The sequence below is a fragment of the Homo sapiens genome, chromosome 13, assembly GCF_000001405.40.
Source record: "Homo sapiens chromosome 13, GRCh38.p14 Primary Assembly".
In the NCBI taxonomy this organism is placed as follows: domain Eukaryota; kingdom Metazoa; phylum Chordata; class Mammalia; order Primates; family Hominidae; genus Homo; species Homo sapiens.
This window is the reverse complement of record NC_000013.11, coordinates 78498300-78518907: the sequence shown is the minus strand read 5'-3', so window position 1 is coordinate 78518907 and position 20608 is coordinate 78498300. Positions and strand designations below refer to the sequence as shown.

The 20608-nt window shown below is 38.3% G+C and overlaps 1 long non-coding RNA gene across 1 annotated transcript in view; it reads right to left on the bottom strand.

The window, feature by feature from the left end:
- Positions 1 to 20608, bottom strand: part of OBI1-AS1 (OBI1 antisense RNA 1) — a 562471-nt gene that overhangs the window by 98418 nt on the left and 443445 nt on the right. The window lies entirely within an intron of this gene.

Sequence of the window (20608 nt, the reverse complement as noted above, 5' to 3'; positions counted from 1 at the left end):
AAGCTCTAACTGGGTGGAGCCCACCACAGCTCAAGGAGGCCTGCCTGCCTCTGTAGGCTCCACCTCTGGGGGCAGGGCACAGACAAACAAAAAGACAGCAGTAACCTCTGCAGACTTAAATGTCCCTGTCTGACAGCTTTGAAGAGAGCAGTGGTTCTCCCAGCACGCAACTGGAGATCTGAGAACGGGCAGACTGCCTCCTCACGTGGGTCCCTGACCCCTGACCCCTGACCCCTGAGCAGCCTAACTGGGAGGCACCCTCCAGTAGGGGCAGACTGACACCTCAGAAAGTACAAAGTTTTGCACATTGTACTCCTCTGAAACAAAACTTCCAGAGGAACGATCAGACAGCAGCACTCGCGGTTCATGAAAATCCGCTGTTCTGCAGCCACCACTACTGGTACCCAGACAAACAGGGTCTGGAGTGGACCTCTAGCAAACTCCAACAGACCTGCAGCTGAGGATCCTGTCTGTTAGAAGGAAAACTAACAAACAGAAAGGACATCCACACCAAAAACCCATCTGTACATCACCATCATCAAAGACCAAAAGTAGACAAAACCACAAAACAGAGGAAAAACTGGGGAAAAAACAGAGCAGAAAAACTGGAAACTCTAAAAAGCAGAGCACCTCTCCTCCTCCAAAGGAATGCGGCTCCTCACCAGCAACAGAACAAAGCTGGACGGAGAATGACTTTGATGAGTTGAGAGAAGAAGGCTTCAGACAATCAAACTAATCCGAGCTACAGGAGGAAATTCAAACCAAATGCAAAGAAGTTGATAACTTTGAAAAAAATTTAGATGAATGTATAACTAGAATAACCAACACAGAGAAGTGCTTAAAGGAGCTGATGGAGCTGAAAGCCAAGGCTTGAGAACTACGTGAAGAATGCAGAAACCTCAGGAGCTGATGCGATCAACTGGAAGAAAGGGTATCAGCGATGGAAGATGAAATGAATGAAATGAAGTGAGAAGGGAAGTTTAGAGAAAAAAGAATAAAAAGAAACGAGCAAAGCCTCCAAGAAATATGGGACTATGTGAAAAGACCAAATCTACGTCTGATTGGTGTACCTCAAAGTGACGGGGAGAATGGAACCAAGCTGGAAAACACTGCAGGATATTTTCCAGGAGAACTTCCCCAGTCTAGCAAGGCAGGCCAACATTCAGATTCAGGAAATACAGAGAACGCCACAAAGATACTCCTCGAGAAGAGCAACTCCAAGACACATAATTGTCAGATTCACCAAAGTTGAAATGAAGGAAAAAATGTTAAGGGCAGCCAGAGAGAAAGGTCGGGTTACCCACAAAGGGAAGCCCATCAGACTAACAGCGGATCTCTCAGCAGAAACTCTACAAGCCAGAAGAGAGTGGAGGCCAATATTCAACATTCTTAAAGAAAAGAATTTTCAACCCAGAATTTCATATCCAGCCAAACTAATCTTCATAAGTGAAGGAGAAATAAAATACTTTACAGACAAGCAAATGCTGAGAGATTTTTGTCACCACCAGGCCTGACCTAAAAGAGCTCCTGAAAGAAACACTAAACATGGAAAGGAACAACTGGTACCAGCCACTGCAAAATCATGCCAAATTGTAAAGACCATCGAGACTAGGAAGAAACTGCATCAACTAAGGAGCAAAATAACCAGCTAACTTCATAATGACAGGATCGAATTCACACATAACAATATTAACTTTAAATGTAAATGGACTAAATGCTCCAATTAAAAGACACAACTGGCAAATTGGATAAGGAGTCAAGACCCATCAGTGTGCTGCATTCAGGAAACCCATCTCACGTGCAGAGACACACATAGGCTCAAAATAAAAGGATGGAGGAAGATCTACCAAGCAAATAGAAAACAAAAAAAGGCAGGGGTTGCAATCCTAGTCTCTGATAAAACAGACTTTAAACCAACAAAGATCAAAAGAGACAAAGAAGGCCATTACATAATGGTAAAGGGATCAATTCAACAAGAAGAGCTAACTATCCTAAATATATATGCACTCAATACAGGAGCACCAAGATTCATAAAGCAAGTCCTGAGTGACCTACAAAGACACTTAGACTCCCACACAATAATAATGGGAGACTTTAACACCCCACTGTCAACATTAGACAGGTCAACGAGACAGAAAGTTAACAAGGATACCCAGGAATTGAACTCAGCTCTGCACCAAGCGGAACTAATAGACATCTACAGAACTCTCCACCCCAAATCAACAGAATATACATTTTTTTCAGTACCACACCACACCTATTTCAAAATTGACCACATAGTTGGAAGTAAAGCTCTCCTCAGCAAATGTAAAAGATCAGAAATTATAACAAACTGTCTCTCAGACCACAGTGCAATCAAACTAGAACTCAGGATTAAGAAACTCACTCAAAACTACTCAACTACATGGAAACTGAACAACCTGCTCCTGAATGACTACGGGGTACATAACAAAATGAAGGCAGAAATAAAGATGTTCTTTGAAACCAACGAGAACAAAGACACAACATAACAGAATCTCTGGGACACATTTAAAGCAGTGTGTAGAGGGAAATTTATAGCACTAAATGCCCACAAGAGAAAGCAGGAAACATCTAAAATTGACACCCTAATATCACAATTAAAAGAACTAGAAAAGCAAGAGCAAACACATTCAAAAGCTAACAGAAGGCAAGAAATAACTAAAATCAGAGCAGAACTGAAGGAAATACAGACACAAAAAACCCTTCAAAAAATTAATGAATCCAGGAGCTGGTTTTTTGATAGGATCAACAAAATTGATAGACTGCTAGCAAGACTAATAAAGAAGAAAAGAGAGAAGAATCAAATAGACGCAATAAAAAATGATAACGGGGATATCACCACTGATCCCACAGAAATACAAACTACCATCAGAGAATACTACAAACACCTCCATGCAAATAAGCTAGAAAATCTAGAAGAAATTGGTAAATTCCTGGACACATACACCCTCCCAAGACTAAACCAGGAAGAAGTTGAATCCCTGAATAGACCAATAACAGGATCTGAAATTGTGGCAATAATCAATAGCTTACCAACCAAAAAGAGTCCAGGACCAGATGGATTCACAGCTGAATTCTACCAGAGGTACAAGGAGGAACTGGTACCATTCCTTCTGAAACTATTCCAATCAATAGAAAAAGAGGGAATCCTCCCTAACTCATTTTATGAGGCCAGCATCATCCTGATTCCAAAGCCGGGCAGAGACACAACCAAAAAAGAGAATTTTAGACCAATATCCTTGATGAACATTGATGCAAAAATCCTCAATAAAATACTGGCAAACCGAATCCAGCAGCACATCAAAAAGCTTATCCAGCATGATCAGGTGGGCTTCATCCCTGGGATGCAAGGCTGGTTCAATATACGCAAATCCATAAATGTAATCCAGCATATAAACAGAACCAAAGACAAAAACCACATGATTATCTCAATAGATGCAGAAAAGGCCTTTGACAAAATTCAACAACCTTCATGCTAAAAACTCTCAATAAATTAGGTATTGATGGGACATATCTCAAAATAATAAGAGCTATCTATGACAAACCCACAGCCAATATCATACTGAATGGGCAAAACTGGAAGGATTCACTTTGAAAACTGGCACAAGACAGGGATGCCCTCTTTCACCACTCCTATTCAACATAGTGCTGGAAGTTCTGGCCAGGGCAATTAGGCAGGAGAAGGATATAAAGGGTATTCAATTAGGAAAAGAGGAAGTCAAATTGTCCCTGTTTGCAGATGACATGATTGTATATCTAGAAAACCCCATTGTCTCAGCCCAAAATCTCCTTAAGCTGATAAGCAACTTCAGCAAAGTCTCAGGATACAAAATCAATGTACAAAAATCACAAGCATTCTTATACACCAACAACAGACAAACAGAGAGCCAAATCATGAGTGAACTCCCATTCACAATTGCTTCAAAGAGAATAAAATACCTAGGAATCCAACTTACAAGGGAAGTGAAGGACCTCTTCAAGGAGAAATACAAACCACGGCTCAATGAAATAAAAGAGGATACAAAGAAATGGAAGAATGTTCCATGCTCATGGGTAGGAAGAATCAATATCATGAAAATGGCCATACTGCCCAAGGTAATTTATAGATTCAATGCCATCCCCATGAAGCTACCTATGACTTTCTTCACAAAATTGGAAAAAACTACTTTAAAGTTCATATGGAACCAAAAAAGAGCCCGCATTGCCAAGTCAATCCTAAGCCAAAAGAACAAAGCTGGAGGCATCACGCTACCTGACTTTGAACTATACTACAAGGCTACAGTAACCAAAACAGCATGGTACTGGTACCAAAACAGAGATATAGATCAATGGAACAGAACAGAGCCCTCAGAAATAACGCCGCATATCTACAACTATCTGATCTTTGACAAACCTGAGAAAAACAAGCAATGGGGAAAGGATTTCCTATTTAATAAATGGTGCTGGGAAAACTGGCTAGACCTATGTAGAAAGCTGAAACTGGATCCCTTCCTTACACCTTATACAAAAATTAATTCAAGATGGATTAAAGACTTAAACGTTAGACCTAAAACCATAAAAACCCTAGAAGAAAACCTAGGCATTACCATTCAGGATATAGGCATGGGCAAGGACTTCATGTCTAAAACACCAAAAGCAATGGCAACAAAAGACAAAATTGACAAATGGGATCTCATTAAACTAAAGAGCTTCTGCATAGCAAAAGAAACTACCATCAGAATGAACAGGCAACCTACAAAATGGGAGAAAATTTTTGCAACCTACTCATCTGACAAAGGGCTAATATCCAGAATCTACAATGAACTCAAACAAATTTACAAGAAAAAAACAAACAACCCCATCAAAAAGTGGGCGAAGGACATGAACAGACACTTCTCAAAAGAAGACATCTATGCAGCCAAAAAACACATGAAAAAATGCTCACTATCACTGGCCATCAGAGAAATGCAAATCAAAACCACAATGAGATACCATCTCACACCAGTTAGAATGGCGATCATTAAAAAGTCAGGAAACAACAGGTGCTGGAGAGGATGTGGAGAAATAGGAACACTTTACACTGTTGGTGGGACTGTAAACTAGTTCAACCATTGTGGAAGTCAGTGTGGCGATTCTTCAGGGATCTAGAACTAGAAATACCATTTGACCCAGCCATCCCATTACTGGGTATATACCCAAAGGATTATAAATCATGCTGCTATAAAGACACATGCACACTTACGTTTATTGCGGCACTATTCACAATAGCAAAGACTTGGAACCAACCCAAATGTCCAACAATGATAGACTGGATTAAGAAAATGTGGCACATATACACCATGGAATACTCTGCAGCCATAACAAAGGATGAGTTCATGTCCTTTGTAGGGACATGGATGAAATTGGAAATCATCATTCTCAGTAAACTATCACAAGGACAAAAAACCAAACACCACATGTTCTCACTCATAGGTGGGAATTGAACAATGAGAACACATGAACACAGGAAGGGGAACATCACACTCTGGGGACTGTTGTGGGGCCGGGGGAGAGGGGAGGGATAGCATTAGGAGATATACCTAATGCTAAATGATGAGTTAATGGGTGCAGCACACCAGCATGGCACATGTATACATATGTAACTAACCTGCACATTGTGCACATGCACCCTAAAACTTAAAGTATAATTAAAAAAAAAAAAAGAATAGTACCTACTTTATAGGGCTGTGAAGATTAAATGAGATAATGTATATGAAATGTGTATACATTTAAGAATTTCTTAAATTATTGAAGAAATGTTTATACGTAATATGATTTGCAGTCTTCATTCATTGTTTATATGACATATAAAAATAGTTATGCCTACACACATGTTAAAAGCTTTCTCACACAATGAATAGATTTTTGAGGGAAATGGTAAAGTCTTTCTAAAGATCATTGAAACTAGGTCATTTTAATTGGTCTTGAATGCTTTGGGTCAGGTAAATACCGAAAATTAGTTGATGGGTTAGATGTTCTTTCAATCATTGTTTATTTTAAACTTTTATTTTAAACATGCTTCATCATAATAATTTCCCATGTATAGGAATCTTCCTGAGTGGGCTGATTTATATTCCTTCGGTCCTTCTTCACGATTGCAAAATTATTGTTCTTTGATTTTCAAGGAATGAACTATTGCTTTCTAATTTTTAGCTCCTTTTTAGAAGTGGTTTCCTTGCCCTGTGACTAGGCACTGATGATATTTAGTTAGCTGAAAGCAAGTGTTTTCACATCATGTGGCTTATGATTACTACAATTTTCTGAACTTGGCTATTGCTACTTCTGGTCCAGAACAAGCTGAAAATCAAGATGCTGGAAGTTATGATGAGGAATGGGGAAGACTTGTTTTATTTTCTCATTATGTAAACGCAGTCGCTCCCATGGCTGCTCTGCTTGTTTTATTGGCACTACTGCTTGCTCTTTCTTTCTATCTCATTGGGTATAGACTATGTTTATTGTTGTCTTACAAATTATCCTTGCACTTGGCACTTCTGTTGCTAATTGCCTACTAACTTTCTCCCTATTCGAGTAATGAGTGGCAATTTGGTATCTACCTCCATGCAGATATTATAGTTTCTTATCATTATTACACTGCATCTATTTCTCCCTTTTACTTTATTTGACTTATATGTATATAATGCTTTTTTCACATGAAGGAAGCAGAAGCCATTTATATTCATAATTATTCCATCTTTTCAAGAGCAAGGCATAAAAGTATATTCAATGTGTTCTGTATGGCGATTTAGATTAGAGAACTGAATTACAGTTACTAACATTTTCAATAAAGTTTGAAAATGGTGCAATTGTGCAAACATATCAGAGCCTCTTTATCACTTCTGTCAGGGCAGAGCGCTGAAGCCTATATTGGCTTTAGAAGAACTGGTTGAGATTTCTGAGTGCTAGTGGTAAACTGATAGTTTAGTTGGGACCCCTTTATTGGTCACCCTGTGGCACATTTGAAACTCTCAACAGCTGTGCCCATTGACTAACAGCACCCTCTTCTCTGACATCATTTGGACCATTGAGAGCCCTGAGACAAAAAGCAATAGAGGGCAGTGTTCTTTTGCTATAGGGAGATTACATAAAATATAGTACATTTATTATTTTGTGGCTTATTTGAATACACATTTCTACCCACATTCACCTGATTTTGGATGGGAGCTTCAATAGGCATACTCCAGAGGGTAACTGATTGTTACTGTAATCACTACTGACAACACTGTTAGTTTAAGGTCCTGTCTTCTTTCGAAACTGGAATCATCTCCCTCTTCTCTTAACTCCAGGCTCATCCTTAATCCACCGTTCACATGGCTACCAGAATTCTCTATTTTAAATAGGAATCTGATAATATCACCCTATATTTAAAGATAGTTGCCATCTCTTACTGCACGCAGGAGATGATGATTAAGAGCACAAGCTTTGGTGCAAGGGAAGTTTGCCTGGACAACCCTTGGACAGTTATTCTATCTGAACCTCAGTTTCCTTCTCTGAAAATGGGGTTTTCAGAAGGTGACAGTAACCTGCCACACAGGGCTACTATTATGATTGGAAATAACACGTGAAATGTTTAGTGAAGCCCTTGGCACAACGCAGATTTTCAAGAAATGCTAACTCTTAACTATTATTTTTTAATAAGTATGATTGAGGTAAAGTCAGTTTTCCTTCCAGAAAAAGGAAAAGCATGAGGAGAGACAATTCATGTAATTTTGTCTCTTCCTCCAATCCATCAAAACTTATTGTAATCCAATTATAAAGCAACAGTAATTCACTACTCCATTTTTTTTTCATGGTGCCAGGTTATTTTATATTCTAGAGATCATGACGATTAGAAGAATATTCCATTTTTAGAATCTGTTTTTAGGGGGTTGACAGAAATGCCAACATAACATGGCCAAAAAGAAATAGATAAACAATCAGATCAAAGAGACTCAACCAGAAGAAAATCATATTCAGAGCAAGAAAGAAAAAAATGTTCAGAGGAAAATTAAAGAGGCTGACAACAAATTAAATATAGTCGGCAAGAACATTTTTTATCTGATGCAAGATGCTTTGTGGGTTCATATTCATTTTTGAAACATGCATTCATGTGAATATCTTTGCATTTGCTGGCCCTCTGCCTGGGATGCACCCCAGCATCTACCTGCATTGCTGTTTCCCTTTATGCACATCTTTGCTCATTCCCCATCAGCTAACAGTGCCTTCCCTGATCACCCCATCCTAAGGAGTTGCCCCCTTTTACACCTGTCCCTCTTCATTGCTTTACTCTACACGATTTTCCTACTTAGCACTTTTCACTACTATGAAATACTTGTGTATCATCTGTCTCCATCATGAAAATGAACACTGTCCAAGGACAGGGGCTCTGTGCTATTCGGTTATATCTCTGTTTCCTAGAGTAGACCCTGGTCCCATACTGGGTACTCAGTAAATACTTACAGACGAGGCCGGGTGTGGTGGCTCACGCCTGTAGTCCCAGCACTTTGGGAGGCCAAGGCAGGCGGATCACCTGAGGTCGGGAGTTCCAGACCAGTCTGGCCAACATGGAGAAACCCTGTCTCTACTAAAAACACGAAATTAGTCGGGCATGTTGGTGCATGCCTGTAATCCCAGCTACTGGGGAGGCTGAGGAAGAAGAATCGCTTGAACCTGGGAGGTGGAGGTTGCAGTGAGCCAAGATTGCACCATTGCACTCCAGCCTGGGCGACAAGAGTGAAACTCCGTCTTAAAACAAACAAACAAACAAACAAAAAACAAAACAAAAAACAGTAACAAAAACAAACAAACAAAACTTAACAGATGAGTAAATGGATATTAGACTTAAATCCCCAAGGATAAATATTTTAAAGACATTCTCCTACTTTGTTAATTGTCAAAGAAATTGATTTTTTATGCATTGGGACTTCTTCCTAAACGGGTCCTTGGTAAGGAAAAGCTGCTTGGACACCCATTTTGTCTGCAGATAATGTGCTTAATGAAGTTATTGGCATATAGTAAGTGTTTAATAAGTACTAATTATTGTTATTATAAGTATGATAAATTAAAAGTGGAAATTCTACTCAAGAATAGAATAAGGCCTGCATTATAATAGCATGAATATACTGCTCACGAAGGTGTTTCTGGACATCAGCCTTCTGTTAGACTTGAATGACCAAACTCAAATTGTTAGTAGGTGTAAAACAGGAGTGGAGGCTGGGGGAGGGGATGATTAGTTGAAGCCTGTTGCTAATCAATGAGTATAAAGTTTCAGTTATGCAAGATGAATACCTTCTGGAGATCTGCTGAACATTGTGACTGAAGATTATAATGTTGTATTGTGCATTTAAAAATCTGTTAAGAGGGTAGATCTTGTCACATGTTCTTATCACAATAAAAATGTTAAAAAAGCTGCATTGAGTTATACCAGCAAAGCCTCATGGCCACCACTCCTGAGATACCTTCTTGCTCTGAAATTTGGTGCAGTTCCATCTGGCAGAGTTTTCAAAGCTCTTTCCTAAGTTTCTTCATCATTCACATCAGACTATTCACAGCTGCACTCAGAGAGTCGCCGAAAGAGGAATTGCGGATCAGGAGATGTGGGTTCCTGATTTAGTCTCACCACTGTATACTCCTCATTAAATACTACTTAATCTTCTGCTAACTTAATTTCCTATCTAAAAATGGGAATGATCCTAGCTGCCCTATAGTACCTGAAAGGAATGTTATGAAGAGGAAACAAATGATCTCATAAGAATATATTGACAAATATAAGCAAAAAAAAAAAAAATTCTTTAAAAAGCAACACTTAGCACAATATATTAGCCTCTTTCTTGCATCACCAAAAGAGACAAAGAAAGAAAATAAGAAAAAATCCTGCAGTCATTTTAAATGCAGTCCTAGCTATGTTAAAGACACTGAAGAACTGCATCCTATCTTCAAAATCAGCTTCACTGGCATAGTTTTCAAACTGCCATTTTATATCTGCTTTAAAAGAATAAATATGAATGACAGATTACAAAGAAGTAAAGACTAAGACCAAGAGAAAATACAAAAGAGACTCTGTAAATACACACATATCTCAATTTTGGTGTATGTTAGCTAGAAAAATAAAAAAAAATTATGTTTGTAAGATACATCATCTTTTATTTTTCCATCTCCCTTCTCTTCTTAATTTCTCTACAGATTTTATAAACTTTGCAGAGGCTTTTTTTTTCATATTCAACTCAAGGGGCTTCAAGTGGGAGCACAAACAACCCTTTGCTCAATGAAGGATAAAGTAAGTCTCTTACCACATTATTATTTTTGCAAAAAGCTATTATGTAAATACACAAGTTTATATGAGCTTAAATAGTCTGAGTCAAGGATGCACAGAAAGGGAATACATACTACTGAAGCAATGCTCACAACAGCCTGACTTTAACAGAAGATTGCATACCCTCACTTACAGGGCAAAAAAGAAACCATATGTCTGTTTTAGTGACTCCATCCTGATATGGTGCACTCATTCCTTTTATTATATTTTCAAATAAATACATATGGGACCCGTCAGATGTCAACAGTGGCTCAGAAAAGAGTATGAATTAGTCACACTGGCACACAGGGCTCAGAAACAATGAACAGTGCTTTGGAAGACCCTTGAATACAAGCCTATTTGCCTCTTAATCCAAATGAATAATTAATGATAATTATCATGCTGCAGTTATTATCTGTGATAATAATATATCCGTAAGGTGAATAAATTTAATCTGCTACTATGCAGAAATGGCAACTCATAATATTCTTAAGAAATACAGATATAATTATCAGTATTAATGGTCAAGGAAAAAAATAAATTTTTATATAAGGAATTACAGCAAAAGGTCTAAAATAAGGTGGAAATGAATCCTCCGGATGATTTTTTTTTCCCACAGCCATCACTGCTGTGGGCCTGCTGTGGTGATGTTAGGGTTCCTACTTTTGTGGGCAGGATCCATTTAAGTAAAAGCTTTACCATGCGCTATGCACTGCAATCTGCCCATAACATTTCCATTATTGCCCTTTAGAAAATGACTTCAGTTAAGTTTAAAATCCTGTAAAGGGCATGTGAAACATGTTAGGACAGGTGGGGGTGATTGGGCCACCACCTTGACAATTTAACACTTAAAGGAAAAAAAAAAAAGCAAAAAGTCAAACCAAATAAAATGTGAAAAGCTTGGTTATGTGACTGGGGGTGGCGGTGGGGTAGTGCTGATTCATGGCGGTTGTGGATGGTGGTTGTTTCTTTTAAAGTGCCCTAATGGCTTAGAGTCAACTAGCGAAATGGAATGCAATTGTGGCACATGATCTAATCCTTCCTAGCAGTTCTCATCACCATTGGAAGATAAGCTGCTTGACTCCATCTTTGTATGGCACAGAATGAGCATTCGTACGTATATATCCTTTTTTGCAAAAATCAGGTCTATTGAGGTATAATTTACGTATAGTAAAAATTATCCATTTTTGATTTATAATTTTTGAAGTCTTCAAAAAAGTGTACAGTGATGTAATCTCCACCCCAATTTAGATATAGAATATTTCCATTACGCCTAAAGGCTCTGTCATGCTTCTGTGTAATCTCTCCCTTATTCCCAGCCTCTAATAATCATTTATCTGTTTTCTGTTCCTATAATTTTGCCTTTTTCAGAGTGTCACATAAATTAAATAATATGTGGCTTTTTGTGTGTGTCTGACTCATTTTGCTTAGCATGTTGTTTTTAAGATCCATCCATGTTGTTGCATGTAACAATAGTTGGTTTTTTGTGTTTGTTTTCTGAGTAATTTCCATCATGTAATTTTTCACAATTTGTCTATCCATTTGCCTGTTCACGAACATTTTGAGTTCTTTCCAGTTTTTAACAATGATTAATAAGTCTACTATAAAAATTAGCTTACAGGTCTTTATGTGCACATATTTTTTCATTTCTCTTGGGCAAATACTTAGAAATGGGATTGATAGGTCAAATAGTCAATGCATGCTTAGCTATATAAGACTGACAAATTATTTTCCAAAGTGGCTGAAACATTCTACATTCCAGCAGCAAATGAGAGCTGCAGTTGCTTTGCAGCCTTGCCAACACTTGGTACGTCAGTTAAAAATTTTTTGCTATTCTCCTTGGTGTGTAATGGTATCTCATTGTAGCTTTAATTTGCATTTCTGTATTGACTAGTGATGGTGAACATCTTTTTCATGTGTGTATTTACCATCCGTAAATCTTCTTGGGGAAATTTTTGTTCAAATCTTTTTTTATTTAAAAAAACTAGGCAATATGTCTTATTATTAAGTTGTGAGAGTTATTTATTTGTCTCGGATTCAAGTCTTTTATCTGATACATGTTTTGCGAATGCTTGTTTTTACTCTGGGGGTTATGTCATTATTTTGTAAGCAGAATCTTTCAAAGAGCAAAAGTTTATAATTTTTTGAGCCTGTCTGACTTTAGCAAGCAAAACAAAATAGAGAAACTTTGCAGATTAAGACACCTCCCTCCTTCCTAAATAAATCTCTGATACTTACTGAGTATTTACTACGTGTAAGACTCTAGGCTAAATCTGTAAGAGCATATAAGAACACACTTAAGAAAAAATAGTAGCAATAGTAATTCAGTAGCTTGCATAATTTAGTTAAACGTCATCCTGCACTGTGTTATTCTGTCTCTACAGAAACAGCTATAGGTAAATATTTTTGCTTAGGAAAATATCTAAGATATGGGCTAGGTGTGGTGGCTCATGCCTGTAATCCCAGCACTTTGGGAGGCTGAGGTGGGAGGATCACCTGAGGTCAGGAGTTCGAGACCAGCCTGTCCAACACGGTGAAACCTCGTCTCTGCTAAAAATACAAAAATTAGCTGGGTGTAGTGGCGCATGCCTGTAATCCCAGCTACTTGGGAGGCTGAGGTAGGAGAATCACTTGAAGTGCTTGTTAGATGTTTGGGGAGGGAATAACAAGGAAACAGCAGTTCATCTCCTTGAGGTCCTTTGTCCCTGACAATGAACAAAAAAGGATTTAAAAACTTTTAAAAGGAAAGCTTCATCATGACATCCAGTTATTTCCTTTCTTTTTCCAGTTGTGTCCTGTTTGTGCCATTATGAAATTACTCCACTTTACTGGGTTAAAGAGACTCAGCAGGGGTTGGGAGAGTGAAACACATCAATGTTACCAGAACATCTTGGTTTTGACTGGTTTTCTTTACATGTTCCTGCTTCACGACAAACTTTAAGTTCTTACTGGGACTGTCAAAGTTAAAAATTCATTTTATAATTGTTGAGAATATAATCTCAATATTGTGATGCTTTTCAGTTGGAGAACTTCCAAAGCAAGATCGGGTATGTTATGTTTAAATCTCAGCTTTACAGAAAAAAAGTCACAGATAATCAAGAATGGACGCGATTAAAAAAATTAGAGAAGTAGAGACTAGGTTAGAGAAATTAACAAACTAGAGAAATTAGAGAAGCCATTTTACCCATTCCTTTCTTAGAGAGATGAAAAACTATCTAATTTTGAAAGATCTTCAAAAGTGATTCCTTAATCCAATGCATTGTTTGAATCAATTATTCAACAATATTTAAAGCCAAAAAATATTTTCTTAGGTTTAATGCTTTATACTGAAACATGGCTTCACTTCCATTCTCCAGTGGCCACTGTACTCTGTGTGGGAGCCCCTCACACACCTGAAGACAATAATTAAACCTCCCCTCAGCTTTTCCCAGCATGTTAATCATCTTGGTGCCATGTCCTGAATCTGCCCTGAGTTATTCTTTTCTCTTTTACAGAACCTAATACAGGGCATCTGGATAAAAGTCTGACTAGAACTGATTAATACGGAGAAAATAATTAATTTTGTGCACCCTAATATTCTAATAAAAATTACAGTATCATGTTATTAACTAACTGCTAGTTTATTACTTTCTGCGATTTTCTCATCATTTCTGATTTATATTTCTTTTGTGAGGATTCCTGGGTTTACCACATGAATGGACACATTAAAAAATACACATATACGGCTGGGCGTGGTGGCTCACGCCTGTAATCCCAGCACTTTGGGAGACTGAGGCTGCCAGATCACGAGGTCAGGAGATCGAGACCATCCTGGCTAACACGGTGAAACCCGGTCTCTACTAAAAATACCAAAAAATTAGCCGGGCGTGGTGGCGCCTGTAGTCCCAGCCACTCGGGAGGCTGAGGCAGGAGAATGGCGTGAACCCAGGAGCCGAGATCGCGCCACTGCACTCCAGCCTGGGCGACAGAGCAAGACTCTGTCTCAGAAAAACAAACAAACAAAAAGCAAACAAAAAACCAAGTACATTTACCTTCCTACTTATATTTCTGCACGTTGAAACTCCTTACTGGTTTATCTCCTCTTTTTTTTTTTCTTGAAATGGAGTCTCGTCCTGTCGCGGTGGCGCCATCTCAGCTCACTGCAACTTCTGCCTCCCGGGTTCAAGCGATTCTCGTGCCTCAGCCTCCTGAGTAGCTGGGATTACAGGTGCCCACCACCACGCCCGGCTAATTTTTGTAATTTTAGTAGAGACGGGGTTTCACCATTTTGGCCAGGCTGGTCTCGAACTCCTGACCTCAAGCGATCCACCCATCTCGCCTTCTAAAGTGCTGGGATTACAGGCATGAGCCACTGCGCCTGGCCTATCTACTACTCTTTACTCCATGGGGTCACCAAGAAGTGGGATCCTATCCCTTGGTGTAATGGAAGGACTTGGTGTGTTAGCAGAATTTTTATTTTTTGTTGTGTAACCTTTCTATTACTCAAAAACACAACATGGGATGTGAAAAACTAAAAAGCCCGAAGAGTTCCAGACACCAACGAGAGGCATTGACAGTGGTGAGCTGGCACTAGCATGGCAGATAATGGCCTTACGTCAGAAGTCCAGACTGTCGATGGATAGTCTGCAAGTGTAAAGAGAATCAGGGCCTCCTACTCCTACTGTGATGGAAGAATCTGGGATTCTGAATGCGCATGACAGAGATTTGAGGGAGAAACTCACTAGGTCCCAGTGTTTTATTCACTGGCTCCATCACTGCTTTATTCTCTTGAATGCTTCCTAAATTATAATTTATTTCATTACAAATAAATTATAACTTACGTTCCAGACACAGGTCTGTATAGAATATATTCACCAGGTAAATGTCTACATAATATTAAGACTAATTAATATCAATGATATTTCCTTAATTTATCTGGAAAAATATATTCTGCCTCTTAAATATAAATGCTCTGTCAGTCTGGGGAGAGGAGTTTTATTTTTTGAAAGTTTGCAAAAAAGTTTTGTGTGGAATTAAAGTAAAAATTATGTCATATTAAGGCGTTTTTATAAACTATTCTCTTTATAACCAGACACTAAATGTGCTTCCTGACATATGCAGAGATGATACTATTGTGATAATGATAATCCAGGGTTTTATGCTTTGAGGCAATGAACTTACCTTATGTTTTCTTATTGTAACGAAATAAACCTCCAAAATGTCTGGCCAAAATTAGTGGATCAGTTATAGTTGTGAAACAACTAAATGTATGTGAATAAAATTGAAAAGTTTCTAGAATTTTTTTCTAGATGTTAAAGGGAGACTTTCCTATTTGCATTTCTTTTGTGAGGACCCCTCAGTTTGTCATCTGAGTGGGCACATTTAAAAATACACACACATCCTCCACATTTACAATGATATTACTGCCATCTATATTGGTAATGAGAACTGGTCTAATGTACAGCACTGCATCATGTATTCAAAAGACCACGCCATGTTATTGTGTGTAATGGCCTGGAGCAAGATGACCTAGTTTTGACCTTCACCATAGTTGTCTTGAGTTAAAACTGTGTGATAAGTGAATTTGTATTTGGCTCATTCCATCTTTTTTCTTACCTCCCTTCCTTTCATTTGCCCAGACTGTGTGGTCCTCAGTTACTTAGCATTCTCCAGCTGTCTGCTGGCTGCTTAGAATCTTCCACTAAAGCATCACCACTTGGGCCTTCCTAGACTCCAGCTCTTTCCCTCTGCTCTTTCCAAATAGATCTGCTTTGTGTTCCATACCTAGTATTCATAGATGATGGAACCTAAGATGATTTATTTTTTTAAATGTGAGCCATGAAATTCCTCACCTATAATGATTAGCATTGTGAGAGTTTCAGAGACTCTTGAAGAGTAGAAGGGTGAGATATTTTCAGGTTAGAGAGTAATCTGGATTTATGTCCATCATGTCTGCAAATCCAAGTACTTTCTTAACACATTTGGCTAACTCAGAAGTATGACTGGGAGTAAAGCAGGAAGAGCGGTTGATTCCCTGGAGCACATGGCATGCCTTCCCTCAAGATGGCACTTTTCAAAAAACATTTTCAATGTCATGGCTCACATTAAAAAAATTATTTATGGCATGGTGATTTTAAAAACCATGATAAAAAGATGGCTTTAGAGTAAGCAGAGTGACAGAGAAATGAAGGCAACAGCTTGGAGAGGGCTAATGTTCTTTCTTCCTCACCGATCAGTCAGGTGGGCTCACCTGCCAACCTGGCCCCATCCTGAAGGTGGCTACCCCGATGTTAGAACCTGGAATTGGCTCTGGACCAACTGTGAGCTCCTCCAACTGACCAGAGCCTAAGCTGTTTTGGGAACTCCTTGGAATTTCTACAACATTCGCTTCCAGCATTTGTCATCTTCAGGGGAAAATTCACCGACTAGGAAAGCTTACCCTTTAATACACACATGTTAGCAGAGTTTGATCTCTACTGACAGAGCAAAGAGAATTTCAGGCATTATGATGTTGCTGAGGAACTATGAGTTTTGAAAAGCAGGCAGTGTTCCTGAATAATTCTGGATCTGGATACTCATCTAACAAATTTTAATGGCACACCTGTTGAGTTAATGTATTGAAGATAGAGGAAAGCAAAAAGGGCATGGGGATTTAAGAATCTTACACTCTAGTGGCATGAAAGCCTGCTATAAAATTGAAATCACTGTATAAATTAGTTACTGGTTATAAATTGCTACAAACACTTCAATAAATATTTAACAAATATCTTTGTATTCTCAGCATTGTGCTTGGTTCTGGGAACACTTAAGAATATTAAGGTATGTAAAATAAAATTTCTTTCCCTGAAGAGTTTACAATTTTGGATAGACAATTATCTAAACAAATAGCCAAAATGTCTAGAATTAAGCTCTTTAAGAGAGGTAGATACAAAGGACTTCAGGAGCACTAAGAAGGGTACCACTAACTACTTGAGAAGGTCTAGGGAGGCCTCTACTAAGGAGATGGTGTTTGATTTAGATTTGAAGGATGAGAAGGAATCGATATGGTAGAAGACAGTCTGGGTAGATGGAAGAAGGGAAATCCAAGGTGTGTGTGTGTGGGGCACATTTCCAAGGTCTATATGGTAGAAGACAGTCTGGGTAGATGGAAGAAGGGAAATCCAAGGTGTGTGTGTGTGTGTGTGGACATTTCCAAGGTCTGGAGTGCTGTGCATTCATTCATCTGCACAGGCATGAGAAGAGTTTTGCACATGAGACTCATACAACTCCATAACTCCTCTGAAACTAACACGATGGGCCAGTTTTCTTCCTTCATACCTGGGTTTATTCTGATATAATATCTTGGCCTTCACCAGTAGCTTACTTATTAGTACATTAACAATATGTTTGTATTTGCATAAATATCTCTTGCAAAATGTGTTAACAGCTCAAGTGTAATACAGCAATAGTGTGTAATGTGGCACATATACACCATGGAATACTATGCAGCCATAAAAAGTGATGAGTTCATGTCCTTTGTAGGGACATGGATGAAGCTGGAAACCATCATTCTCAGCAAACTATCGCAAGGACAAAAAACCAAACACCGCATATTCTCACTCACAGGTGGGAATTGAACAATGAGAATACATGGACACAGGAAGGGGAACATCACACACCGGGGCCTGTTGTGGGGTGGGAGGAAGGGGGAGGGATAACATTAGGAGATATACCTAATGTTAAATGACGAGTTAATGGGTGCAGCACACCAACATGGCACATGTATACATATGTAACTAACCTGCACGTTGTGCACATGTACCCTAAAACAAAGTATAATTTAAAAAAACCATACAATATATAAAATAGAAAACATTTATATCAATGTAATATAAAATTATCTCTTTAAAAGACAGATGTTATCACTTAGTCAAGTTTTCAAAATGCCTTAGGTATGTAAGAACTCATATGCCCTTAGGTATGGCACTTTTGTCTCTATATTATCTTTTTAAAACATAGCTCCTGAAATTGTCGGCTATATTTCCTTTTCTATGCTATTATTTCTTGGAGGTCTGGATATAGAAATCCAAGGGCACTTTTGGCTCAGAGAATTGGACAGGAATCTCATGCATTGGTGCATTGACATTTCACCCAGCAAATTATGATGGGTTGGTAAATGTGAATTCAAGTTTAAGCAGAGAAATGTCTGCAGAGATTTGCAATCTATTTTGATGGCCCCAAATGTCACATTTTCTTTCCTTTAGAAAAGAATAGTTCTGTCCTTCAACACCTTTAAAATTCAGATATTTAACATTCCATGATCCTTTGAGTTTGTAGTTGGTGAAACTGGAGTTTTCCATTTCTTCTCTTACGCTATAGTCTTCACCCTTCATTTCATCAAACTCATAATATATGAGTCTTTGTCATTAATATTCTCTTTTCATAACCCTCTTCCACCTCTTCATTATGATCCAATCATTTGAGGACTTCTCTACCTACAATTTGCCCCAAAAGATCCTCTCATTTCTCTTTGTCCATATTTTTCCATTTATTTCCCTTTCTTTCTCATGGCTTTATAGACCCTGAACTCCTCTGCTTTCTCATCATCCACTAATTAGCATGTCTCCATGGTAACAGACAGTTGCAGAGCGGGAATCATTCTCTCTATCGGCTACTGCTGAGCAACCTCTGGGCCTAGCAAGGAGGGGCCTTGACCCGATTAAGATAGGAAGACTTTTCTCTTCTTGGCAGGAGAGGATCCATACATTTCAGAGAAGGCCCTGTTTCCTCGGGGAAAGAATAAGTCAATTTGGTTGAAAAGGAGTGTATACTTAATCTCAGGCATATGAAATCAAAGTATGAAATAAACGAAGAAAATATCCAACAAGATCTAGGAAAAATATCTAATGTTGGATCTCTGCTTCTGGTTTGTAAAGATTAGCAGTGCTTTGATCTGGAAGATGCTATGAAGCAACTAGTAGCAAATATTTGGTAACTTTTACCTTCTAATTTTACATATACAATTCCATAACTGTGCCTTATGGGGCTGAATCTATGACAGAGAACAACCCTACTCCTAGTTTTATGAGGTTTATTCATATATTATAATTTTTTAATTTTATGGTTCCTATTTTCAGCTAGATTTCAACCCATAATCATATGCTTTCTAAACAGATATTATTGCATTAACTATTATTGGAGTTTCTGGTTGCAGTTCTTTATTGATAAGTTGCATAACATTATGCAGTTCATATCAGAACACATTTCCTGTATATTTTCCTATAGTTCAGAAGCTAGAAAAGATATTATTAGTTATAATTTATTAAGTGCCTGTTATGTATTAGGCATTATACTAGGTGTTTTGTGTTTAATGTCTCTGAACCTCATGCCAACTTTTCAACCTAAGATACCACTAGTCCAATTTTGTAATATGAAGAGACTGAGATTCACAGAGGTTAGGTAGTTTCCAAATAAAAAGCTAGTAAAAACCTACTGCTGGAATCCTGGATACCTGAAACCAAGTCTGTATACGTATGCATTACCTATACATTCTCATATAAAGATCTTTGTGTGATAATTAGAAAGCTATATAGATTTGAAACTGTAGACTTCTGCTTTCATCCAAGGGAGACTGAAGTTTGAGGTCTTCTCAGTTGGAAGCTGTAGCCCCTTAGGAAATGATAACCTGAAATAGCAGGTGATTTTCTTGGATGTCAAGAAATGAAATGTTTTAGCAACGTATGAAACCCACAAGAGTAGGAGTGTGATGCCTGAAAGCATAGATTATGATGTAAGCTTGTGTAAATTGGATGGAAAAATTTTACCCCCAGACATGTAAACCAGGGATGCCACTGCTATCCTGGGAACTCTGCCATTGATAGCAAGCGGGGATGGACGACTCGCGTCTTCTGGAAGAGTGCAAGACTTTCATCCTCTTCTTCCTTCAAAGTTTATGATGAAAAACATTCTTTTTCCAAATATGAATGAGATGTCACCAATTTGTATACTGCATTTCATAAACTGAAGATCAACTTACATCTCAAAGTTGATTTAAATCATGAAGACTTTTAACAAAATGACATCAGGCCGGATGTAGTGGTGTGTACCTGTAATCCTGGCTTACTTGGGAGGCTGAGGTGTGAGGATAATTTGAGCCCAGGAGTTCAAGATCAGCCTGAGCAACATAGAGAGACCCAGTCTCAAAAAAACAAAAACAAAAACACCACCAGAACAACTCCATCTAAGGGAGAAAGTACATGTATTGAATGACTTCTATATGCCAATTACTGGTGCCAAGTGCTTTTCATATGTTATCTGTTATGAGACCATGTCTCTCAAATCTCT